General features: G+C 40.3%; 1 protein-coding gene across 8 annotated transcripts in view, besides 2 other annotated features; it reads left to right on the forward strand.

Moving 5' to 3' along the window:
• Nucleotides 1–26,844, forward strand: part of MYO3B (myosin IIIB) — a 477,021-nt gene that overhangs the window by 11,042 nt on the left and 439,135 nt on the right. For all 8 annotated transcript variants that reach the window (NR_045682.2, NR_045683.2, NR_045684.2 and 5 more), the window contains exons 2-5: nucleotides 10,020–10,203; nucleotides 10,962–11,096; nucleotides 25,191–25,295; nucleotides 25,541–25,640. Coding sequence is in view for 5 of the 8 variants with exons in the window: in NM_138995.5 (NP_620482.3) it covers nucleotides 10,020–10,203; nucleotides 10,962–11,096; nucleotides 25,191–25,295; nucleotides 25,541–25,640 (524 nt within the window). In the remaining 3 variants the exon portion in view is untranslated. The remainder of the gene's footprint in view (nucleotides 1–10,019; nucleotides 10,204–10,961; nucleotides 11,097–25,190; nucleotides 25,296–25,540; nucleotides 25,641–26,844) is intronic.
• Nucleotides 24,925–25,616: an enhancer, noted in NCBI's record as "OCT4-NANOG-H3K27ac hESC enhancer chr2:171070623-171071314 (GRCh37/hg19 assembly coordinates)". NCBI's record gives its function as "activates a minimal SCP1, AML or CMV promoter by ChIP-STARR-seq in naive and primed H9 embryonic stem cells {active_cell/tissue: H9 hESC(naive and primed)}" and the evidence as "EXISTENCE:reporter gene assay evidence [ECO:0000049][PMID:30033119]".
• Nucleotides 25,617–26,308: an enhancer, noted in NCBI's record as "OCT4-NANOG-H3K27ac hESC enhancer chr2:171071315-171072006 (GRCh37/hg19 assembly coordinates)". NCBI's record gives its function as "activates a minimal SCP1, AML or CMV promoter by ChIP-STARR-seq in naive H9 embryonic stem cells {active_cell/tissue: H9 hESC(naive)}" and the evidence as "EXISTENCE:reporter gene assay evidence [ECO:0000049][PMID:30033119]".

Raw genomic sequence — 26,844 nt, forward strand, 5'->3', positions numbered from 1 at the left:
CAGATGATGACTGGAGCTCTTTGTATGTAATTTGTCATTTCTCCTGCTGCTTGTAGGATCTTTTCTTTATTTTTCACCTTTTGCAGTTTGATTACTAAATGTCTTAAGGTGGTTTTCTTTGGGTTAAATCAGCTTGGTGTTCTATAATCTTCTTGTACTTGAATATTGATATCTTTCTCTAGGTTTAGGAGGTTCTCTGTTATCATCCCTTTGAATAAACATTCTACCCCTTTCTCTCTTTCTACCTTCTCTTTAAGGCCATTAACTCTTAGATTTGCCCTTTTGAGGCTACTTTCTAGATCTTATAAGTGTGAGTTCTTTTTTTTATTTTTCATTTTTCTTTTGTCTACTCTGACTTTATATTTTCAAATAGCCTGTCTTCAAGCTCACTCATTCTTTCTTCTGCTTGATCAATTCTGCTGTTGAGACTCTGATGCATTCTTTAGCATGTCAGTTGAATTTTTCCATGCCAGAATGTCTGCTTGATTGTTTTAAATTATTTCAATCTCTATTAAATTTATCTGATAGGATTCTGAATTCCTTCTCTGTGTTATCTTCAATTTTGTTGAGTTTCCTCAAAGCAGCTATTTTGAATTCTCTGCCTGAAAGGTCAGATATTTCTGTCTCCCCAGGATTGGTCCCTGGTACCTTATTTAGTTTGTTTGGTTAGGTCATGTTTTCCTGGATGGTCTTGACATTTGTGGATGTTTCTTTGTGGCTAGGCATTAAAGAGTTAGGTATTTACTGTGTTCTTCACAGTCTGGGCTTGTTTGTACTTGTCTTTTTAGGAAGGCTTTCCAGGTATTCAAAGGGACATGAGTGTTGTGATCTAAGTTTTTGGTCACAGCAGCAATATCTGCATCAGGGGACACCCCAAGCCCAGTAACACTGTGGTTCTTGCAGACTCATATAGGTACCACCATGGTGGTCTTAGATAAGATCTGGAGGAATTCTCTGGATTGCCAGGTAGAGATTCCTGTTCTCTTTCCTTACTTTCTCCCAAACAAACAGAGTCTCTGTCTCTCTCTTTCCTGAGCTGCCTAGAACTGGGAGAGGGGTGACAGAAGTACCCCTATGGCCACCACCATTGAGACTATGTGGAGTCAGACCTGAAGCCAGCACAGTACTGGCTCTTGTCCAAGGCCTGCAGTAACCACTGCCTGGCTACTGCCTACATTTACTCAAGGCCCTAGGGCTCTGCAGTCAGCAGGTGATGAAGCCAGCTAGGTTTGTGTCCTTCCCCTGTAGGGCAGCAAGATCCCCCTGGTCCTACATGGGCTCAGTGATGATGTCTGGAAGCCAGGGCCTGAGTCAGAAACCTTAGGGATGTACCTGGTGCTCTATTATACTGAGGCTGAGCTGGCACCCAAGCCACAAGACAAAGTCCTTCCCACTCTTCCCTCCCCTTTGCATAGCAGAGGAGTCTCCCTGTGGCCACCACCCAGGCCATAGTAAGAACTGCCTGACTACAGCCAATGTTCATTCAAGGCCCAAATGCTCTTCAGTCAGCTTATGATGAATGCTGCCAGGCCTGGGACTCTCCCTTCAGGGTAGTAGGCTTCCCCAACCCCTGGCCCAGGACAGGTCCAGAAATGCCATCCAAGAGCCAAGGCCTAGAACTGAGGACCCTAAGAGCCCACTTGGTGCTCTACCCTACTGTGGCTGAGCTGCTGCCTAAGCTGCAAGACAAAGTGTCCTTTACTCTTTTCTCTCCTTTTCTCAAGCAGGAGTCCCTCCCCATTGCTACCACAGTTAGGTAGGTCACACCTGAGGCCAGCATGTCTTTGAATCTTACCCAAGGCCCGCTGCAAATACTGCCTGGGTACCACCGCTGAATATTCAGGGCCCAAGTGCTCTTATTAGCAAGTGATGAATCCTGTCAGGACTGGGTCCTTCCCTTTAAGGCAGCAGGTTTCCTTCTGGCCCAGGGTGTGTCTAGAAATGTCGTAGAGGAGATAGGGCCTCAGGACTCTTCCTGGTACCCTGTCCTACCGTGGCTGAGCTGGTATCCAAGTTGCAAGACAAAGTCCTCTTTACTCTTCCCTCTCCTCTCCTCAAGCAGAAGGAAAGAGTCTCTTCTGGAGCTGTGCGCTGCACTGCCTGGGGTTGGAAGAGGGGTGGCACAAATACTCCCTTGGCTCTGGCTGATGTGTTACTAGGTTGCATACCCATCAAGTCCACTGGCTTTGAGCCCAGCACAGCGTCAGGACTTGCCCAGGAATTGCAGTCTTTGTGGCCTAGACTACCTTTCAGATTTCTTTAGAACCCCAGAGCAATTTAGTTCACGGTGGTGAGGCTTGCCAGAACTCAAGTTCCTATCACTGGGAGGTGCAATTTCCCCCCGGCTAGGTTGTTCTAAATGCTTCCTCCGTGGATGCTGGCTGAGTTCTGCCTGGTGTTACTTTCTACTGTGACAGGGCAGTACTGAGTTCCAATGCAAAGTTCCCCAATCACTGTGCTCTCCCTCCCGCAAGTGCACAGATTATCTCCGTGCCACATGACTGTGGCTGGGAGATTGGGGGAAGGGTGGCATCAGCAATTCAAGATTGTCTGTCCTACCCTCTTCAGTGTCTCTTTCAGTAATATGAAGTTAAAACCAGATATTGTTATCACTCATCTGATTTTAGGTTCTTATGAAGGTGCTTTTTTGTGTGGATAGTTTTTCAGTTTGGTGTTCCTATAGGGAGGACTATCAGTGGAAGCTTCTGTTTGGTCATATTGCTCTGCCTGTAACTCGAGATTCTCCTATTGGCTGATTTTTAATTTAGTATTTTTATACAGGTATTCCGAAGTGAGGTTGATTGCAGTTTTATTTTTCTGTGCTACTTTTATCATGTTTTTGTAGGAATATTTTGTTATTTTACTCTAAGTGATTTGAAGTTTTTTTCTTCATGACCTGGAAACCATAAATAGCATTGGAATTATCTTTTTCTTTCTTCATGACCTGGAAAACATAAATAGCATTGGAATTATCTATTCTTTGAAGGTCTGGAAGAATTTATTGTTAAAACCATCTGAGCCTGTGGCTTTTTGAGGGCTAGCTCTTTTTTTTTATTATTCTGAATTTCTTCCATTATATGTCTACTTAAGTTTTCTATTTCTTTTGGGTTCAATTTTTTTTATTTGTATTTATCTAAGAAAGCATTCATTTTATAATTATTTATAATTACAAAAAATATTTACTTATTTAGCGATTTTCAAAGTAGTCATATAATTTTTGAATTTCTTATGCATCTTTTTCTTTTCTATTTTTATTTGTGTTTTCCTCTTTTTCTTGATTAATCTATTTTATCTATTTTATTGTTTTGTCCCCAGAGAACAACATCTTTAATTTAATTATATATTCTACTGTTTTTCTGTTTTCTAACTCATCAATTTCTGCTTTTATTTTTTCTTCTACTTTCCTTATGCTTATTTTATTTATCTATTTCTACCTTTTTGAATAGAATATTAAAAAAAATTTCTTTTTAATTATAATTTGCTTGGTAAAACGTTTAATTCTATAACATTTTGTTTTTCAGCCCAGCTTCTTAAGTTTTTTGCTTGATAGTATCCTCAATATTTTTATTTTTATATACTCTGTAATTTCAGTTTTAACTTTTTGTTTTATATCAAGACCTAAAAGAGTTTTAATATTCTCAGGTGGCTAGGTTTCTTCTTTCTATTATTAATATTTAGTTTTATTGTAGTGTGGTCAGGGAAGATTTTTCAAATTTCATTTTCTTGGAATGTATTGAGGCTTTACTTTGTGGCTTAATGTATTCCTTATTTTTAAAATTAAAATATCTCATTAGTGCTTGAAAATAAGTTTTATGTTAAATATGCACTTATTGATGTGCATCTAATAGGTTAATCTTTTTATTGTATCATATATTTCTTATTGTCACCTTGTTCTGTCATAGCTGACAATGTCTTTTACTATTATTGTGTTTTGTCTATTTCTTCTATAAGTTTATGCTTTTATGAATTTTGACATATTGTTTTTGATACTGAAGGATTTATGACTTTTATAAGCTTATTATTGATTTAAAGTCTGCCCATTCTAACAGTATATAGAATAGTATCTGGTGCCTAGTAATTGCTCAATTACTATTGTTGAATGTAAAATAACCCTTTATGTTCTTTGATAGTTTTTAACTTTACTCTTTTCTGATATTAATATTATGATTCTTTTTGGTTTTGTTATCATTTACCTGGTTTATCTTTGACTTCTTTTTTTTACTTTTAAAGTTTCTGAGTTATAGACTCTTGAACAGTTTGTTTTAGATGTGGATATCTATAGATCTGTTTTTTCTATGTTTTGACCTTATTAAAGAATCTTAATTGATACAACAGATATTTACCTCTGTTTTTAATGTCCCCCTCACCACCACCTCCACTCGTCCTCTCTTACTCCACAGATTGTCTTTTTGTTGTTTGATGTTTGTATGTGTGTTCATATGAGTAAGTGTGCTTTTTTTGTTGTTATGTCAAAGACTTATAGTCTATTTTTAGGTCTTTTAGAGATTTGATAACTTTATAGTGTTTTTAGCATCCATTTAGCAATTTATCAATTATCTATTGCCTACTTACTGAAATTAGTGAGAAAATTAACATACATATTTTCTCCTTATTAATATTGTCTTTTTGCTTGGTTACCTTAATTTTAAAGAGGATATTTAAATCTCAGTTTCTTAATTTAGCATCAAAAAATAAAGAAAAATGAGGAATTTTCACCCTTATTTTTCTGTTTAATTTGATTATTTACTTTTATTTTTGAAATGTATAACATTTCCCTTTTGTAAACATACTTCACACTGTTGATTAGCTTTATTTCTAAGTATAAATGGGTTCAGTTCTTCTTATCAGACTTTTTACTAGGGCTTCACATTTATCTCTTGGTTAGCTGGATTTTGGAATCATGTGACTTTTTCAGGAAGGACTCAAGCTGTTGCATGTCTGAAAGTGTCTGTTGTTGTCTTTATACTTCAACAACAGTTTGGTTAAATATAAAAATATTTGCTCATACTTTTTTTCCCTTCGAAACTTTGTACATTCTGGACATGGTGGCTCATGCCTGTCATCGCATCACTTTGAGAGGCCAGGGTGGGAGGATCACTTGAGCCCAGGAGTTCAAGACCAGCCTGGGCTGTTAGGAAGATCCTGTCTTTACAAAAAATAAAAATATTTAGCCAGGTGTGGTAGTGTGCACCTGTGGTCCCATCTACTCCAGAGGCTGAGGTGGGAGGATTGCTTGAGCCTGGGAGGTTGAGGCTGCAGTGAGCCATGATTGTGCCACTGCACTCCAGCCTAGACAACAGAGGAAGACCCTGTCTCAAGAAAAAAAAAAAAAGAGCTTTGTTAATATACATGGTTTACATATTTTTCTGGTTTTGAATGTTAACTGGAGAGAAACCTGAGCTTTTGTTTTATTTGCTTTTATTTGGTTTTGGTTTTGTGTGTGTGTGTGCATCCTATTGTATTAGTCAGGGTTCTCTAGAGGGACAGAACTAATAGGATATACGTATATATGAAAGGGAGCTTATTAAGGAGAATTGACTCACATGATGACAAGGTAAAGCCATCTGCAAGTTGAGGAGCAAGGAAGTCAGTGGTAGATCAGTCCAAGTCCCAAAACCTCAAAAGTAGGGAAGCTGACAGTGCAGCCTTCTGTCTGTGGCCAAAGGCCTGAGAGTCCCTGGCAAACCACTGGTCTAAGTCCAAGAGTCCAAAAGCTGAAGAACTTGGAGTCTGATGTTTGAGGGTAGGAAGCATCCAGCACAACAGAAAGATGAAGTCCAGAAGACTCAGCAAGTCTAGCCCTTCCGCGTTCTTCTGCTTGCTTTATCCTAGCCGCTCTGGCAACTGATTAGATGGTCCCACCTAGATTGAGTGTGGGTCTGCCTCTCCCAGTCCACTAACTCAAATGTTAATCTCCTTTTGCAACACCCTCACAGACACCTCCAGTGATATGGGCAGGAGACAGGGAAACACTAGGTAGAAGAGGGCAGTCACCTGGCAAAGACCCCACCCACAGGCATGGAAACCCATGGCTCCAGTGGGAAGAGGCATTCTGTTTTCATGCCCAAAAGTTGGCTTTTGGCATGCCACACCGTCCTATCCTGTACCCATATAAACCTCAAACCCCAGGCTCCACAGAAGATGAGAAGAACAGAAGAACGGCAGAACGGCACAGCAGAGAGAAGAGAAGGAGCATCTGAATGCCAAGAGGAATTCAGCTTGGGGTGGTTGGAGAAGAGATCTGCCACTGGACAGCCAAGCTTCAGGGGAAGATCATCTTCCCACCCCATCCCCATCCATCCCACTGAGAGCCACCTCCACCACTCAGTAAAATCCCCGCATTCACCATCCTCAAGTCTGTGTGACCTGATTCTTCCTGGACACTGGACAAGGACCTAGGTACCGAGGGCACTGAGCTTGTTAACACTTAAGCCGTCTGTGGACAGCAAATCTAAAAGAATGCACTGTAACACATGCCCACTTGGGCTTTGGGAGTTTTAGGTACCCACCTCTAGATGCTAGCATGAGTCTGGAGCCCCCAAGGCGCTCACCCCAGATCCTGCACCTGCCTGTCTATGTGCTCCCCCTCCCATAAGGAGTTTGAGCAGACACACAGCCAAACAGTCAAGCCACACCCCTGCAGCATGTCCTATGAGAGGGGTCAGGGAACTCTGCCATTTCACCAGGAACAATAATTTGGATCTTTTAATCCAAGCAAGTTGACACTCAATATTAACCATCACACATATACCTAAAAATTTGTTTCTCTACCTTGATGTTCAGTAATTTTAACAGAAATATTTGTTTTTCTGAGAGTTGTTCATTTTTCCCTCAGATTTGTGGGTTTCTGAGTGTTAGGGGCAGCCACAATTGATGGATATGAGCTTTACTCTTCTTTCTGAAATGTCATTTAATGTGCATATTAGGGTCATTCCACCTGATAGGAGGCAACTCCTACAGCATAGCTTTGGAAATGTTCCTCATTTTAGAATAGAGCCTGATTATTTCTCCTACTTCCTTTTAAGAGCCTAGTATTGGCCAGATGTGGTGGCTCATGTCTGTAATCCTAGCACTTTGGGAAGCTGAGTCAGGAGGATCACTGTAGCCCAGGAGTTTGAGACTAGCGTGGGCAACACGGCAAGACCCTGTCTTTACTCTCCACCCCACCAAAAAAATTAGCTGGGTGTGGTAGCACATGCTTGTGGTCCCATCTATTAATACTTGGGAGGCTGAGATATGATTGCTTGAGCCCAGGAGGTTGAGGCTACAGGGGGTGGTGATCACACCACTGCACTACAGCCTGGGTGACAGAGTGAGAGCCTGTCTCAAAAAAGCCTAGTGTTGAGTAATACATGTAAAAAGTTCTTAATAAATCCTTACTGAATGTATAAGTGAATGAACCTAGACTCATTTTCTGCTGCTGTCTTTCCTTCTCTGTCCATTTTTCTCTAAGTAAAGATGAAACTGCCTTTGCAAAAATTATATCAGTGAGAAAATTATGGCAGTGGGGAAGATTTGATCTAGCTAACCCCTCTAGTGCTGTTAGCCTTCAAGCTGCCTTCAGTTATTCCTGGGTTAACTTTAGGAGACATTTAGTTTATAGTTTAAATGATAATAGCCCTTCCCCAAAACTCAGCTGCCTTTGCAAAGCTAATGAGAGAGCACCAGGCTAGGAGAAGGAGAGGAGCCTGAATTCTGCTAAGGTGTAGATATACCTGATTGGTAGCCATTGTTTCAGAGGTCACAAGACATGCAACTTCCCCAATTACTCCTGCAGATAACATCACTATTTTTGAACCTAGGATCGGTCTTTTGAGATATCTTTTCAGGTTTTTTTTTTTTTTTAAACATGTCTGACACCTGGCTCCACCTGGATGGCCAACTTCTCCTGTGGCCCCACCCAGCAGCAACTCAGAGCAAGAGGACAGCTTCAACTCCCTGTGATTTTATCTCTGACCCAACCAATCAGCAGCAAGTGCCCAGTGCCTCGCCACTCCCACCCGTTTCTTCAAACTGCCTTTGAAAAACCCCTAACCTTCAAGCTTTCAAGGAGATTGATTTGAGTAATAACTCCATCTCCCACATGGTGTGGCCAGCCTCATTTCAAACTTTCTTTACTGCAATGCCATGAATTGATTTTGTTTGTGCAGTAGGCAGGAAGAACCCATCAGGCAGTTACAGGGAATGTTGCTGAGATTTTTCAATATTTTGTTCCTTCACCATTTGGCAAATCCCATCACACTCTGGGAGAAGAGAGTGAACTGCTTGAGCAGTGATTCTTGGGATCTTCTCTCATTTTCACTGAATGCTACTCTTCAAAGATTATGGCGTGAAGTTATATCCCTTCTTTTGTTTGATTATTGCTGGTATATTTTGATTTGTTTGCTGGATTTCAAGTTTCCATTTTAGTGTTGTTCATTCATTCAGTTTTAGGGAAAGGAGATACTTGACTTCACTTTGCCATCTCACCCCAGAAGTCATAAAAATTTTTGAAACAAATTCGGAACCTCCAGAGCAGAGCTCAGTTTCTTCTTCCTCCTCATATTTCTTGTAGAATCTAGTGTAGCTTGAATGGGATTGGAATTTATTAACTATTTACTGAATGCATAAATAACATTTTATGGTAATTTTGGCTAATTTATGACCTGTTATTGAAAGAAGGGTAGATGGTGTACAATCACCTTGAAAAAAGTATCATTTCTGATTAATCTTAAGAGGGGATGGGCAAAGCAGCAAGGAATGTGCAGTAAGACATGGGCGAATCAGCCACACGTCAGACTGAGCATGTTTAGTGCTCACTGCAACCCTGAAGAATTGAGTCCATCTATTGCTTTTGACCTAATGTGGGAAATAAGCTCCTAGGGCCTCTGAAAAGATATGGGTGAATGATCAGAAATTTATCAGGAGCACCTTTCTCCTTTGGGTTTTTTTTTTTTTTTTTTCCCTTCTTCACTAAACACATCAGTTTTAAGGGCACCATGTGAAATTTCATTTTTGATTCCTTTCATTGCTAACGTCAAGGCCCACTTTACACTATTCTTCATTTTCCCTCCAGGCCTTTCACTGGCTGCTTAAGGGCAGTCCACCCAGCTAGTTAATGCGTATTTCTCTCTTCTTTTATGTGACTCTGTTTACACTTGGGCAGACATAGCTTCCTGCCAATGGGCAGTTTCTTTTCAGGGACAAGATGAGAAAGATCACAGAGCTTTGTAGTGATGAGTGGTTTTGTTCATCTCAGTTTCTGCATGTTGATATTCTTTCTGTTTTCCTCCTTCAGGAGGAAGGAACAAGAATTGGACTAGAAGAAGAAAGTCATTTGTATTCTTCTGACTATTGATTTTCCTTCTACCATTCAGCAGTTCAGTAGTTTTGCGTAACTACAGCTGTTTGGGCTGGGACATCAGCCATATTGTGGGACTGACTATATTTCAGTAAGCAAGAAGTAGATTGGGAAGGTGAATTTCTGACAATATGAGTGTGGGTGCTTTAAATTTACTTCTTTTCACTCAAGTTATCTAACATAGAGCGAGGATAAAAAAGAAGAAATATGAGTCAAATGCCTGGTAGTACACTGATGTTGGGGATTAGCTCCCAGTGTCTATCAGGGAGCCCTCATGAAGGTTACCATAACCTAGGGACAAAGATGTTAGACTTAACAGTTTTCAGCCACTTTCCCTGGCAGCAGCCACCATTCAGCAGCCTATCAAGACAACTGTCCAATCATGACCAGAACATCCTCTTTGGCTGTTTTACTCTCTCCTGTGGTGTGTACATAATTTCCATTTTTAGAATCATGTTTTTAGGATGTTTCAGAGCCATGTTACTCCTCCACTCTATCTTTTATTACCATTTCTTAAGGAGGGTCCAAGTTCTTTTTCAAAAAATTTATTTACAATAGAGGAAGAAAATAAAAAGTAACATGAGGTTGCTGGTTAAGAAATAAAAATCTTTTTGTTTCAAAAGTCCACTGCCCCCAGTTCTGTGATCTGTTGCACATAACAAATTTTTCCCCCAACCAGGAAACATCTGTATGGATTATTTCACTATAATCCTATGATGCTTGGACTTGAATCACTTCCAGATCCCACAGACACCTGGGAAATTATAGAGACCATTGGTAAAGGCACCTATGGCAAAGTCTACAAGGTAACTAACAAGAGAGATGGGAGCCTGGCTGCAGTGAAAATTCTGGATCCAGTCAGTGTAAGTAACAGTTGTAAATTATAACCAGAATTTGGTGTTTTATGCACACTGAGTTTTCAACTTCTTTTCTTGATTTTAGGTTTAATTTTCATGAAACCTGGTATGAAATCTCAAAATGGGTCATGATTTGTCAGCTTCTCTGAATGAAGGGACTCCACTTGGAGTTAAAGCTTCCCTTGACTTTTGTTTCTTGTCCATTTTACTGTTGTGTTGGTTTGGGACCACTGGGATCTTCAAAAGTTATTCTCTTGGAAAGAGTAATATATTTTACTACCTGGTCTTTCTGTAAGTTACAAAGTGACCCAGACTTGTGATATTCAATCATCTTACGCTGACATCTTATTTTAGAGCACCGGGGTTATAATGCTGTATGCTGTTTTGCACAGTGAGGTTTTACATGTCCTATCCTGTGATAGGTCCCTTCAAGCAAGTTCTCCATAACTGCTTTGAAAATTCAGACACTTTTCAATAAAAAAGATATTTATGATAGTATTATTAAAGAAAAAATATCATAAACATTATTGATATAATTATGTAATAATAGAAGGTGTAGGTTGTAATATTAGAATGTAATAATGTAATACTAGAAGGTGTAGATTGATATCTGAATGTCCATTGTTAGATATTTTGAAGGTATGGTAATGAGATTGAAAATACATAGTACATATGTTTTACTAAGTACTTGAGCATGATGTCATATCTGTACCCTTCCTTACACATTAGATTTAATCCAGCTTGCATTTTTCTACCCTGTTTAGGATATGGATGAAGAAATTGAGGCAGAATACAACATTTTGCAGTTCCTTCCTAATCATCCCAATGTTGTAAAGTTTTATGGGATGTTTTACAAAGCGGATCACTGTGTAGGGGGACAGCTGTGGCTGGTCCTGGAGGTAAGAGGCTCCCATTGGGTAACCAGTGATTTGAACAGAGTGCCAGAGGCCAACAGATGCTTTATTACCTAGAGGGTGTTTTAAGGTACACATTTGAGGAGTAGGTCCCTCCTGCATGTCACAGGTACCTCACCAGATGTGACATTCTCCTCCACAGTTCTTACAGGTAGGCCTTATGCTAAAAATATTTTTGTTTCTCTGCTTCAGAGGTTTAATAATCTTTTATTCTAGTACAGGGTGAATATAGGAATATAATTGAAAACATTAATTTTCTTCCCTAACATTTAATTGTAAACATGTTTGAATTGATTGCAACTCATTTTCAAAAATTGTTAACCCAAGGTTTACTTGGCTTGCCAAGTTTGGATTTGCCCACTCATGTTCATTAGTCCTCATTTTAGATTGGGTTTCCTGAAAACTGACTCTGAGAATTGTGTATGGAAAGTTTGTTGCAGAGTTCTTAGCGGAGGTAGACCTAGAAAAAAGTGAGGAAGGCAGGATCAGGCAAGGGAGACACTGAACAGCAATATGGTCATAACAGAGACCTAAGCTGGTCCTCTGGGAAATGGAGAGCTGGGCAGTTTTTGGAATGTTGTCCTGAATTGTATCTCCACATCAGCCAATCATTGCCTGCATGCCATCCCTGCGAAGGAGCGTGACTTTGGGGGAGTCAGTTCTCTGAAGTGGAAGCCAACTTGGGTGAGGGGTGCAGCTGAGGGCTGGGAGCTGTTCCTGTTTCTAGCAGCATCCACTGTGAAGAGGGAATCTGAAGGGAACAACACTGTATCCACTATAGTCCTGCATTTTTTTCTCCAACAATCCTTCCATACACAATTCTCAGAGTCAGTTTTCAGTTATTAATGGGAATGAATGTGTGCATCTGGGTGCAAAAGAGTCAATTCCGAACAAATACGATTCCCTATGAGGCTAAAATGACAAGGAAAATAATGACAGTATATGAATTAATATATTAGGACAGGTCTATCGCCACATTCTCACTAGGCCTACACTGTTTTATTCTGGGCTCTGACCTTCTGAACCAGCTCATGTCTCCATGTCTGAGGTCACGTAGGTGACCCAGCACAGTGTGGACACAAGTGGAAGCCTTAAGAGAGAAGCACCAGGGGAGAAACCAGCCCTCACTTCACTGTCTGGTACCTCTTGTCCACATGTTTCTGGCTCTGGGAGGGCCTGAGCCTGGGACAATAAGTACTGGCTGCCATGGCAACCATGTTTGGGGAATTCATTTGTTATATTCAAATGGGATAATCTGCAGGGAAACTGGTTTGAATTTATTTCTGTCACATCAGTTGCCTTCCTCAGAATATATAAGATGTAAGGGATTTTGGTTTTCTAATTATCTTTGTTCCTTTAGTTGACTGGTTAAGTCATATAACACACTTCTTTGGGGTTTTATTAACTCCCCCACCCCCACCCCAAGAATATTAGGATTTTATCTTGCCAATGAAGCTGTTTAACAATGCTATTTGGAAATGATAAAGTACTGTTCCTGGGGTCTCTGATTATATTTGTCTTCAGCTCTGTAAGATCTCTGTGTTTTAAACCTCGTTGTAACTTAGTAATGGAAGTACAGTGACCAAGAAACCTCAGTTTCTGCTTATTTTTAACTCCTGACTAAAAAAGGCTCATATCAGACATAGAGAACTGAAACTTTCAGGAATTTTCGAGGGCCTAAAAAGGAGCCTTCCCTCCATGCAACCAGGCAGGCAGGTGGGCTGCTCATACCTGAGGCCACCTGGTGAATGAACATCCTTCCTGATGAGGAGTGACCCTCAGACATGGCAACTCAGGTATGGCCAAAGCAGCCAGGAAGTAGCACATGGACTTGAAAGATGAGAAAGAGCCCAGAACTATGAGCTGAGCCTTGCGCAGGTGCTCCCTTGCCACCTGTTTCTAGCTTTTTCAGGGTGACCACAGTAATGAAGCTGCCCTGAGACACTGAATTATTCATACCTCTGCAATACAATATGCTGTCATTTATGACTTTTGCTGGTTGTTTTGGTCCATGCCAAAGTGGGTGATATGAGATACTGGGTGTCCTCAGTCTTTTCTGTCCCAGGATGGGCAGTCTAAACCAGGCTGCTACATGGTCATGTGCATTCAGTGCCTCCAATAGTCTTAGGGAAACACAGGAATTCCTAGACTCCTAATACTGGCAGAAGCCTCTCTCTTCAGTCCCCTAGCCTTCAGATGAGGGACAGAGGCCCACAGAAGTGAGTAACATGCCTATGGTCACATAATTGGTTGTATGGCAGAACTGGAAGGAAAAGCATATTTCAGCACATTTTCTTTCACCATGTGCAGCTGCTCCTCTGATGTTATCCATTGGGTCATGGAAACACAGATGTGAAGTCTCTCACTGGGATCGTAGCACTTCCTGACCACACACACAGAGCTGGATGACAATGATGGTCCACATAGTACCCTATTTTGTTCTCTCTGCAGCTTTTTAAGGCATGCTTTAGGGGACTCACACAAAAAAATTATCTGTTTAATACTGTTCTCCTCATCTTGCATATTAAGAATAAATTTATGTTGCCTTTGCTCTTTATTTGCCTGACTGATGAAAGGACGAGTGAGAAGCTATTCCACAGAGCAATTCTAGAGGATAGAAAAATGTTATTAATAATCCCCTTAAATCACGACAACTCTGAAAACAAAGCAAATAAAAATGTCATTTTCTGAAATTCATTACTAATTGTTAGTAGAAAGCAAACAAAAGCTCTCTTTCATGATACACACCTACTATATTGGAAAGATATGGAGAGAAAATACACACACATAATAGTGTTTTGGAAAATCTGTGAATGCATTTTAAGTGAATATTAAATTTTTAAAAATCTATAAGTCCGCCTTTCACCTAGATGATATACATATTAATAAATTAGACCTTTAAGAAAAACATGATGCTCAGAAAAAATACCTAACATGTGGTAGCTAAAGCATGAACTATATTTTCTTTTTCCTTTTAGTGTAAAATCTTTGGCAGGTAGAAACTTAATTTCTGCATGAATCAAGTGTTCTACTTAAAAGAAATGGTTTGGAGTACTGGTAAATGAGGCTGGAAAGTAAAACAAACAACTTTGTCCTTTAAACCATGTATGAGAATTAGTTTTACATCTTTTTTTTCCCTTCAGAGATCTCGGTATAAGTTCAGTATCTAATATGTAGAGCCAAAGCAAAAGGGGGCGGCGGGGGGGGGAGGGAGGGAGGGAGAAAGAGAGACAGCAGACAGAGAGACCGACAGACCGATGGACCTTTGTCCAGATTTTGCTTTTATCCAAGGCCCTAGAAAGTATAATCTAGACCTGAATATCACTGGAAGTGTTACACATCAAACCATTTTGTTGATACTGTGGCATGAATTAAGTTTATCAGGTTAACAAATCAGGGTCTTAGTCATACTCTGACGGACTCAAATGTGGGACTGGTGGATTTTGATTGACCAGAAGTGGTTAGAAAGTACTGCAGCATTGAACACTGACTCAGTGGGTTCTAGAGTGAGAGACACTGGAATGCTGGGAGCCTGGATGAAGGCACAGAAAACTTGAGACTGGAGAAGGGAAGAACTTTGAAATGGAACAGCATTACATCCCACAAACATATACTATATGTGTTCAACAAAAGAGAGAGAGTTAAGAGGCTGAGGACTGGGAGTGATTCTTCCCACTCTTGGCTCTATTCAATAAGGATGTGCCCCAGGAAGAGAATGAGATGGGAGGTCACTCTCAGGGCCCACTTCCCTCTCATTGTATGAGCATCTCTCCACTCTGATAGAAACTCTAGGGTTTCAAGTGACATAGTTTTCACTGGTCTTGTGGCAAGCCAGTGACTTTTGCTGGCTTTCATTAAAATAAACATGATTCGTCCAACACCAGAGGAAAAAATGTGCTGTTCTGGAATTACTGAGAGGCGGACAGTGTCCAACATGATACTTCCTAAGGGATTTTCTGAAGTAATTTTGACTGTCTTTGACTTTTCCTTTATGTTATCTGTAGAACCCAACACCCTTAAAAGACAAAGTCTACTGAACAAAGGGGCACCAAAAAGAAATTCCTCTTAATTCTGCAAACTGACTATGTCAAAGCAGCAAGCTAGTATAGAAGCTACTTGAACGTTGGAGCCTAGGTCTGGTGATTGTGTTGCATGGGCCATTCTTTAATAATGTGGAAGAAAGTTGATGGCTTATTGAGCAAGGAACATTTTATTGCTTGAAATGATGACTGTCTTAGCAAATGCACATACTGTGATTGAATCAATATTCAATGACGTTTTGGAAAATAGATGTGGAATGTAAATGATTTTTCTATTTTTCTTGGTTTGGAGCAAAATGCTCATTAAATTCTAGATGCATTCAGCTACCACATTTCCTGAATGCTGAGGGCGTAGGGAGGAACTGCAGGAATGAAAACACACTTCTGTATTTGAATCTGGTGGCTGGCAGAGTGGGCGGGAATAAAGGGCTGATATGTCAACCCTCAGGGCTGGGGTGGGAGGCTTGGTTGCCTTCTTACAATTCTAAAGGGATTATTTTACTTGGTGCATTTAAATATAATTCTTTGTTATGCTTTTAAAATGTTCAACCCATTTCACTGAACATTTATTCTGATTAGACAATTGTCAGTGTACACCTGATTTCTTTTTTTTATATCCAAGTGCCCAGTCTTTTTTCTATAACCCATAGGCTGCCCTTGAAAACCTTGCTGGTGGGCTTATCAACTTCACAGGACAGCTTCCTTTAAAAGTGTCCTGAGCAGTTTAATTATATGTTTCTGTGAGTTCTGGGAAGTCAGACAGCTCTTATACTCTGACATTTAGTGAACAAAAAGCACTGGCTGGGTAAGATTCCTTTGTTGTTTTTAAATCCATAGCTGAGTTTTGATCCTGCTGACAAATAGCTACTCTTAATCCCTTCATAAGTTCTAGAGTTACAAATAAAGTTTATAAGTTGGCTACCTATATAAAATATTGCTGAAGAGGCCTTTGTTGCAAAAATGGCCACACTTAAAGTAGGGCAGGGAGAGAGACCAAAATGAGGTGTCAGGGGAAAATTCCAGGGTTGCATTTTCTGGGATCATCACCCAGCATTTAATTTAAAATTTCTCTCAGTAGAATTTTAATAGCATGCTTGCAATGCAAGAAAGCCTGTGCCTCCCTGAGATGTGAGCCAGGGTGGGGAGTGGTCCTGATGAAGGTTCTGTTGTGCTTTGCATCCCTATTACTGCCTTTCCTTTAGAGGAGCAAAGACTATTGATATTTTCCTAATTCTCACAGTTTCCCTAGACTCTGTCTCTTCTTCACCTTTCACATGTGGCTGGTCAGAAATTCCTGTCATTTCTATCTCAAAAAAAGTCTCCCAAATCTCTCCCTCCCTTTTATCCTCATGACTTCTTGACCCTGCCTCTCTTGATTACGTCAATATCTTCCAATGGATACTCCAGCTCCTAGTGTTGTCTTCTGTCCATCCTCCATCTGCTGACCAAATCATTTTTCTAGAATGCCAGTCTGAACATTGAGACCTCCTGCCTAAAATCTGTTAATAGTTTCCCTTTTTTATCTAGTGATATATCATGGTATTATAATATACATAGAATATTATATGGGTAGTATACAGGTATATATTATATGCGTAGTATATGGATATATATTATATGGGTAGTATACATAGTATATTATAATAAAGCCCATACTCCTTAGCAGGGCATACCTGTCATTCCCTGTCATTGGCCTTCCTCCTCCATCTCCCTGCCCCAGGATTCTGGCATCCTTTGTCCCAACAGTAGTAGAGTATTTAGAACTCATCACACACATGTACCCTCACATGCACATTCCCCCTCATTCTTTCATGCCCCCTACATTTGCACAAGATGTCCCCATGTTCCTTTTCACAGAATCTTCTTTCCCTTCATGTCCACCTGCCCCAAACCCATTTGTCCTTCAAACTCATTGTAAATGTTACATCCTCTGGGAAGTTTTCCTAGACTGTCCCCTCTTTGCCCTCCCTCAGCAGAGTTCACCCTTCCTTCTTTGGTGCCACCACACTTCCTTAGGCACAGCTCTGCTTCCACATTCCACACTATAATTACTCGTATGTCCATTACTGGGCAGTGACCTCTTTGAGGCTAGAGATTGTGTCATATTCATGATTGAGTAATAGGTAATAAACCAGACAGTCATAAACTATTGATAACAAAGAGGTGCCTTTCTTCTCAATAACTGAACTAAACTGGGTTCTTGAGCCCCCAGCCTGACTAAAGGAGGCAACTGATTCTAACCCATTTTGTTAAACTTAAGTCCAGTTGAGTGACTTTGTGGAGTGGCATATTCCAGTATTTATATCCAATTTTCACTGTCCAGTTCAAGGCTTAGTCATTTGGGTACGTACTCAGTTTTTTAGGGCCTCTTCTCTCCCTCTTCCCTCTCCCTTTTCCCTGGGTGGCATCTGGATCTGGGTACAAGTAGATGCTTACATAATGCCATGGTAGTGAGGGCAGAGGCTTCGGAACTGTATTGTAACCACAAAGTCCTTGTGATAATAAAACTGTATTTTCTCCCTTTGGTATCTTTGATGTTCCTGGTCTCTGACACTCCCTCCTATCATGAGGTCCTCATGTCCTTTGTCCTTATTTAAACTCTAACCTTATCCCTGTCCCCAAATAGAGCATGAAGTTCTGAGTGTCTTACAAGTTGTGAGCAGATTGTAGAAAACTGTTATTGTAATCTCAAGCATGGTCTACCTCACCATGCCATACTTTCATTTCACTTGACACAGACACCCCTTGTTATCAAGAGGTCTCCTCTTAGATTTCCAAATGGGAAGAGGATCATAAGAAACTGAAATTTCTATTATCATTACCCGCTTACACAGACACCCCCCTCCCAGAGGGAGCATCCTCATTCTAATCTTGTCCTCTTAATCTCCCCTAACTCCAGTTAGGGGAAAACAGTCAGATCTCCCTCAGAGGCCTATCTAAGGGTTGCTGGCCAAAGGGGCCATCATCCGAGGCTCCAGTTGCATGACCATTTGGAGTTTGATGTCATGAAGGTGAGAAAGAGACAAACTGGGTTATTAGAAAACATGTATTAAAACAAAATGGGGGCAGGGGGTGGGGATAGCTCAAAAGTCTTGAGGCCTTTTATGTTTGCACAGGAAGAGGGAGGCCAAAAGCCCAACTGGTAAAAAACTTTTACCTTTCTGCCATCGTGTCAGGCTTTTGGGTTCCCTTCCCCTGAGCGCAATCCTAAGCCAACCAGTCTAAGGTTTGGGAAATTAACTGTTCCTAGTTTGGAGGATGCATCTGAGGGGAGTGTCCCATAGTACAGAGAGACAATTACCTATCAGTGAAGAGAGGAAGAGAAAGAAAAAAAAAAAGGCTTTTTTTTTTCTCAAAGGATTAGTCTAAAGTGCATCCCAGGGGTTCAGGATGCACTCAAAAGGGGTACAGACTGAAGATGAATGGCTACTCATCTAGAAAGAGGAGAGCAAGGCATCCCTGGTTCCCTTCTCTTCCTAGCAAATACCTGGGGTACATGAGGGAGAGAAAGTGAGTCATTCCTCTTTCTTTTCCTCCATCCTTGTATCCCCAAGTTCCAGTGACTGTGACAGGGTACTGCCCATGGAGTCAAAGCGGCTTTCACCCTTGTTAAAAGGGAGTCTGGGGGTGGGAGTATCCACTCTTACCCACGTATGCCCTATCTCCTCTGCTGTCAGTAGCCTTTGAATTCTCTAGACCTCATTTATGCCACGGGTAGTATCATGACCTTTATCCATGAAATGGGAAGCCTGGCTTAACTGGCAGGAAACCAGTCATGCTCACCTGTGCTATGCCTTTTAACTTCCATTATCATCTACCTCTGGATCCCTCAAATCCAGTTTTCTTTCCTAGGGCTTTGACCTGAAGCTTGGAATTGAGTTTGGGACAAAAATGTGCCTCGGAGAAGGGGTGTTGCATGGACTCCTTATCATAAGCCAAATGCTAAGGTGAAGCTGTGGAATTGAGTCCTCCTCCAACAAGGGAGAGAAAAGGATGTCTTGTGACATGCCCAGATAACTGGTGGCTATAGTTATGCTTGCTAAGATGTAGGTGCATGGGGCTTGGCTTTGGTTAGCTCCCTTGGTCTTACTTTCCCCAGAAGAAAACTCTGGGTGATGGGCACCCTATTTATATCCTATTTATTCCCATCACCTGGCAGTATTTGCAGGATAATTGCTCAGAACTAGAATTTTGATCCAGGTTTTTACATCACCTATCCCTTTTATTCTTTCTAAGCTGCAGCTGGAGATTCCTGGTTGGTTCACAGGAACAAGCAGGGTTAGTCTAAAGGGTAGGCAAAAACTTAAAAACAACTAATGAGTCTAGAATTTAATGACAAATGTATGGTAAGTTTTAAAACATAATTTCTCTATCTCCAGTCCCTCATTTTTTTGTTAAAAAAAAATCAGGACTGAGTTGCTGGCAAAATAGACTTTAGTCTTACACTTGACCTGATTATTTGCATAAAGTGCAGCAAGAATAATTGTTTCTACATAGGCCTTTTAGATTGGCTTTGATGGAACTCTGTTCCTCAAGGAATTTCGGATAAGACCTTTTAAAGCTGAGCACAGCCATGGGTTTGTATCCTCAAATACCTGTGAGTTGGGTGATCCTCTCCTTTTAAGGTCCCAAGATAAACTTAGAGCTCCTGGTCCTGTCATAAAGTAACATTTTTTACTTACTACAGGTCAGGAACCCTATACAGGTACTGCGTAGATAAGGCCAGTTTTCCCAAGGGGCTTTTAGCAGCTCTGCAAGTCGAGCTTGACTCCTTAAAGGGAAGCATACCCTTCCAGTCAAAGCCTTGGTAAAACAGTTTCTCCAATTGCATCATACTGCAAAAGAAAATGGATTCTTATGGCACTGATGCAAACAACTACATTGCTGTAAGTTAAGAATACTCACAACTAGTTTCCAAATTCTGGGGAAGCCAGGCAGAGAGGGACATATATGCTCCAAATTTTGTTCACAGGAGTATACCTTAATCATTAAAGGCCATAAATAGTTCAAAATAAGTTTCCTTGACTCTGAAAAACAAAACAAGGGTCAGCAATATTCCAAGCAAAAGTCAAAAAGATAGCTTCAGTTTTCTATGAGTTCGGTCCATTTAGTTAACTCTTGTTTGATATTCATGAACATTTCAGCTCTTTATGAGTCCTGTACATTTTTCCTTTTTTCCAATGTCACAATCTCCAAAGTTATCAGAAACCTGTATTTGAGAGCACCTGTCAGAGTCCTGTGGCACCTGTCAGAGTCTGGTTTATTATAAACTATCTTTTGAAAAGGACCAAAACAAGACAACAATTGTTGGGAATAAAAAAATTGCCCAGGGTATTTACAGTTAGAAACACAATTGACAAAGAAGTTTGGTTATCTCTCTTCTTCTCAAAGAAGTCTGGTTTACAATAACATAACAACCTTAATTATGATGATAGCATATACATTAGACATTAGAATTTTAAAAATCCCATACAATTTTGGAACACATATTAATATTATTCATCAAAATATAACCTAAATAATATTGAACACCATTTTGGCAATTCCATGTAACTAAACATGTCAAATGATCCCTTTTACCTCTCTTTTGGATACTCCAGGGCCCTCTGTAGCATCCAAAAGCTAGGTGTCAGGAAAGGCAATTTTGAAACTGAAGTTTGATTTTGGGAAGCCTATTAAATATGTTAGTGGTTTAAAACACTGAAATAGAATTCCAGATTACCAAAAGTTATTTATTTTGCCAAACGATGACTCAGAAATTTAAAAAAGCAAAAACCTTTTATAACCCTTTACAAATTTTGCTAAAGAGCAGATTAGTGCCTTAAGAGTACCTTGTTGTGCTTTTATTTCAATGCTCAATTTACAAAAAAACTATATAATACCCTTTTGAATTTAGTCAATCTGTTCACACACTGAATTTTTGCAATATTAATTTTTACAGTCCTTCCATCATTTGTTTAAACTGTCAGCTTTATTTTATCTAATTCAAAACAGTCCTTTAAACCTAGGCAAGAATTTACATTTCCATGCCTTCTTGTAATCTTTTACTAAAAACACATCTTACTGTTCCTACATACCTTGCGTGTAAATCTATTTCCAGTAGTTTCAATTACATGTTATAATGGTAACCCCTAGCAATTTTAAGTTTAATGTAAAACCTGGTAAGTTGTTTTAATTATGTGCTAGGTTCAGGCAAGGTTTGACTCCTTCCAACATAATTAAGGGTGTGGTTAATTCCTTATGTCCCCAGGCCTTACTAATTGTCAAGCTGGCAAGTTGAAAAGTTCTTAAAAACCAAAAAGGCAGTTTATAACCTTAAAACATTTAGCAAACCTAGTATCTGACCTGCATAATTTAGTTCACCTGTGTATATTTGACAACATCTGCATTTTACCAATAATCTTTAAGGCTGTTTTTATTTCTCAAAGATTAAAGTCACATGAACTAAAACGTACCACAGCTTTAATCTTCCCTTTAAAAAAAATTTGATCCAAGCACTTGTCTTCCATTAGACCAATTAATTAGAGCTTTTTTATAGACATCACACACACAACACATATGTAACTACACAGACAGGCAGAAGAAAACCAGCAGCCATAAGATTTTCATTTGCCCATCTCCTATTTGGATTATTGGCCTCTGGGTGGGGCCCTTTAAGAGACAGGGCTAGGAAAACATGCAGCTTTTAAGGCCTAATAAACAGGCATGACTGGGAGGCAAAATCAGAGTTTGAGAGGGATCTATCCACTTTTAATTCCTGGGGTTCCATGAGAAAAACAGGTTTCTTCCCAAAACGGAGTGGTGCCTTGTCTGTTTTTCCCAAGGAGTCCCATGGCCCCAGGAGTTATCTTAGGGCCTGCCATGCATGCACTGAGAGTGGCAAGCCAAATGGAGAAAAATAATTTAGTCAACTGAGGAAAAGCCTTTTTCCAGCAAAGCAAGATACCCAAAGAGGAAAAAGCATAAAGGCCTTTTAAATAAACCATAACTTGGACATCCACTTTTAATTAAACTGAGCACTCTCTAAGAAAATCCTTTTAACTCCCTTATTACCCGATTTTAGCCATGCCAAGCAGCTAGTATTTCTGGCTTTCAAACTTTACTAACGTTAACCTCGCAGGTGAAACCAACAAGCCTCACTTAAGGTTATTATTTCACTGTGAGCGTATGCGGTATTTTCGAAGGGGATAAGGGTAAGCAATTCTTACAAAATTTAGAACCTTTAGAGGTAACCCAGTGAAAGGAAGATGTAAGAAAAAGGCTAAGCGTTGTTCATGGTGGGGAAGAGAATCAGCAAATGGCAGAAGTCACACAGATATTAACTGGAAAGTACTCATTTCCTAAGCCAGGATTGAACCTAGGCATCATTGTGAAATGAAAAACAAAAAGCATTGCCACATGGTTACAGGTCACAATCCCAAGCACACAAAACAAGATGGAGGCCTGCAGCAAAGTTTGCTGTTGGCCATACAGGAAGTCATGCAAAGCACACCAGATTGGCTACAGCTTAAGACCAACCTCACAAATCCTTTTTCATAATTAAAACTTTACAGAAAATATAAACCCTGATAGTTGGGGTCCTGGCCTGGTAAAATGTTTTCTTAAAAAAAAAAAAAAAAGCCAGCTGGGTTCTGTGGCTCAGGCCTGTAATCCCAGCACCTTGGGAGGCCGAGGCTGGCAGATCACCTGAGGTCGGGAGTTCAAGACCAGCCTGACCAACATGGAGAAACCCTGTCTCTACTAAAAATACAAAATTAGCTGGGTGTGGTGGCGCATACCTGTAATCCCAGCTACTCTGGAGGCTGAGGCAGGAGAATCGCTTGGACCCAGGGGGCGGAGTTTGTGGTGAGCCAAGATGGCGCCACTGCACTCCAGCCTGGGCAAAAACAGTGAAACTCCCTCTCAAAAAAAAAAAAAAAAAAGTCTGGGGGAAGAATCTCTTATTTTTATGCCAGTGAGTTTCTCCAACAGGGAGAGAAACTTGGGAGCTGGGGAGCCACCAGTTTGCCCGTCCAGCCGACATTCCTGACCTCCAGGAATGACATTTTAATATGGGGGGGCATAATTTCTCTACCCTCAGAAGAAGTCGGAGGACAAAAAGGCTTAGAAGCCAAAGGAAAAAGACTTTTTGGTTTGCATGTCACTCACCTTTCCTTAAGCCCTACGCCTGGATGCCAAAAATGTTGCAGAACTTTCTCCTTAGTTCCACCAAAACGGGGTTTTTGTCACTTGACCAGGAAAGATTAGATTGGTAGACACATAAAAGGGTGAGGAGCGGAATTTATTGGGAGAAAAGGAAAAAAAAGAAAGAACTCAGCAAAGTGAGATGGAGTCCTGCTAACAGGCCCTCTACCTCACCGATTGATTCCCAGGTCACCACACGAGCTAAAGAGAGCAGGCTACTTCCCTGCATAAGGCGTGAATTCCCCGTGGCTCCACCCATTTCCCCCAGTGCTCGTGTCTGGCTCCAGTCTGCTGTGGGGATGCCCATACAAGCCTAGGGCACAATTGTTGCCTAATCTGCACAAAGCATCTGATGTAAACACTTGCGGGGCAGGTCAGAGATTCTCTGGGGACCCCCTTTTTATCTGCCTAGGCGTTTGGCTATCTCAGTAGCTTTTAGAATCTGGTGAAAGCTCTGCATTTTCTCCCCAGTAAACTGCAAGATGCATATACAGCATGCTGCCTACAATTTCAGGGTATTTCCATGCTCTGCTCAAAACAGTTAAGAACCTTTGACTTAGGATGGCTTGTAGCAAACCCAAACCTGCACGTTGACTTCTGCAATTAGTAAGAGTCATCTTTGGAAATCCTTAAGTTGATGAAAAAGTATTGTAGCAGGACAAGCCGCAGACAAAACTCCTCAGACACCGAGTTAAAGAAGGAAGTGGTTTATTCCGCCGGGAGCATCGGGCAAGACTCCTGTCTCAAGAGCCGAGCTCTCTGAGTGAGCAATTCCTGTCCCTTTTAAGGGCTCACAACTCTAAGGGGGTCCGCGTGAGAGAGTCGTGATCGATTGACCAAGCAGGGGGTACGTGACAGGGGCTGCATGCACCGGTGGTCAGAGTGAAACAGAACAGACCGGGAAGTTTCACAGTGTCTTTTCTATACAATATCTGGAATCTATAGATAACATATCCGGTTAGGTCAGGGGTCAATCTTTAACTACCAGGCTTAGGTCAGGCAGGCCCAGGCCTGGTTTCGGGTCTGGTTCCTAGGCACCGGGCTACCTGCCTTTTGTTTTGCTTTTCTTTTCTGAGTATAAAACAATATAAAACAATATGAGAGGGTCTGTCTCTCTTCTCTCAGTATAACTGCTTTATGTGCTCAAACTTCAGTTAAGATACAATATATGACAAAGAACAAATATGCAAAATAAAATTAGTGTTTTTAATTACAGACAAAAAAGAGAGAAGAGCATAAAGTTGCTGAGAGCCTAAAATTGAACATTAAAAAGTTAATAAATGCACTTATGATGCAACTTCACTCCATAAACTTTATCTGCAATGGCAGTTCTAGGAAGAACTGCTGGTTGGGCTTCTGATACGTGCTAGCACTGGAGAAATCACTGAAATTTATTCTCTCTCAGGTATCAAGGGCATCCATCTTGCCTCTCCCGGTTTTTCCTTATCCTCAAAATGCACATTAAAAACATAGACAATATTCATATAAAGTGAAAAATATCCAATAAGTTGCCATTATTATTTATATGCTTTTTCTTTCCAAAAATATTCTTTGTAAAAAATTTCTAATTGTGCTTTATATTTTATTTTTATTTTATATTTGGCAATTAAAAAGTTAGCATTTTGAACATGCACTTTCACTCATAAATCATCACCTCAAATAAAAAATACATACGCAAAGAATTAGATTAGACTGGGTAATGGAAATGTGAAGTCTGAGTATTCCAAGCTGGAGTTTTGTAATCTGCAAATTTACTACATTGAATCAGTATCAGTCGGCTTTTCTTAATTTCTTTTTCTTTTCTTTTTCACATGTGGTCTCCTGCTCTCCCTGTGTCTGGCACCTCTTCTTGCAGCTGTGTAATGGGGGCTCAGTCACTGAGCTTGTCAAAGGTCTACTCAGATGTGGCCAGCGGTTGGATGAAGCAATGATCTCATACATCTTGTACGGGGCCCTCTTGGTAAGAACATCTATCAAATGGGGTATGACAGCAGATGGGATGGTTTGTTCATTGCTTGGGTCCTTATTGCATATTAACAATGGGGAAACTGCCCTATGATATGCAAGGATTACTAACAGCAGGAAGGTGTAGCCAAATGTAGACTTTCATGAGACTTTTCAATAGTAGGGTAATTGCTTTAAAATAAGCATGTAAATTTCCCCTTTCTCTTTCCTGTTGTTTGGTGGTGGTGGGATGCCATGCAGGGCCTTCAGCATTTGCACAACAACCGAATCATCCACCGTGATGTGAAGGGGAATAACATTCTTCTGACAACAGAAGGAGGAGTTAAGCTCGTTGACTTTGGTAATGACTGCTTGTCGTTTGTTTTCTTGACGTGTGCAGTTTAGCCAAAGGGGACAATTTATTGCAATCTCAGAAGACTGGGGCTTCTCTGCTACACCATAGGCTGAGGGACTTTTCCAGTCAAACACAAGCTGGAGGGGGTGGGGGCTCCAGATGGATCACCCTAGGAGATGCTGTTTGCTAATCTAGTTTCAGCTTTAGAAGCAATTTTATAAAGATTGAAAATAAAAGTGTTTCAAAAGAAGAACTTGATGGAAAAACTTTTCGGTTTTCTGCTAAGAATTTCACATCTCAGGGCAATTGTCTATAATTTACATTTTGTCATTTCTTCTTTTGCATATGAAAAGAGAAAGCAGTTTGGTCTTTCAAATGACTTTCACTAGCCTTAGGCATACTTATTCCCAGGGAGCAGAAGGTAAAATAGTCCTCTGGGCCTGGGAGCTAACATCCTTTTAAATTGTGTTTACTGCTGCTACATGTGAGGCTGGTTGAACTGGAAACATTAACGGGAAATGGAAGTGTGAGAGGAAATGCAGGGCAATATCACCTAAGGCCAGAGAACTATTAAATATCCCCTTGTAATATCATATGTTGATATTCACAAAACAACAAACCATTTGGTTTTTTTTTTAAGTTTATTGAAGGTTTAGTCTTCTAAATGAGTTCAGCAATAGTACTTCAGAGTCATTGTTACAAATAATGAGAAAACATTTAGTGAAACACTTTAAACGTGTTTTTTTAAAAGAATATTTATTGTCTTATTGCTAAGAAAGAGTTCAGTGTAAACATGTATCAGTTTATCACTTGCTCAGAAGAAATTACTTAAAAATAAATGAGGTTGGTTTAGACGTACTAGTCTATTTTTACTGAAACACAAGCAAAGAAAAATAGCAGAGGGAGCATTTTGTTTAAGTCTTATGCTCCTCTTTATAAGGAATGATATAACTCCAATAATATGCTGTGTGTATGACATTTGAATTGTTTTTGCACGTGATTCTGGGGACTGTAAATATGTTGTGAGGGGAAACAGACTGAAAGGATGAGGATGGGGTGGGAATTGATACTGATGTATTCACTCAGCAGCTTTGCGATTTGACATAGAGTAAATGTTCCTAATCTTTCCATTAGAAGGTTCCTGAACTTTCAGTGGCTGCAAAAGGAATGTCTAGAAATTAAAACCAGAAAGGTATAGTTGTTTTTACCA

The sequence above is a fragment of the Homo sapiens genome, chromosome 2, assembly GCF_000001405.40.
Source record: "Homo sapiens chromosome 2, GRCh38.p14 Primary Assembly".
Taxonomy (NCBI): domain Eukaryota; kingdom Metazoa; phylum Chordata; class Mammalia; order Primates; family Hominidae; genus Homo; species Homo sapiens.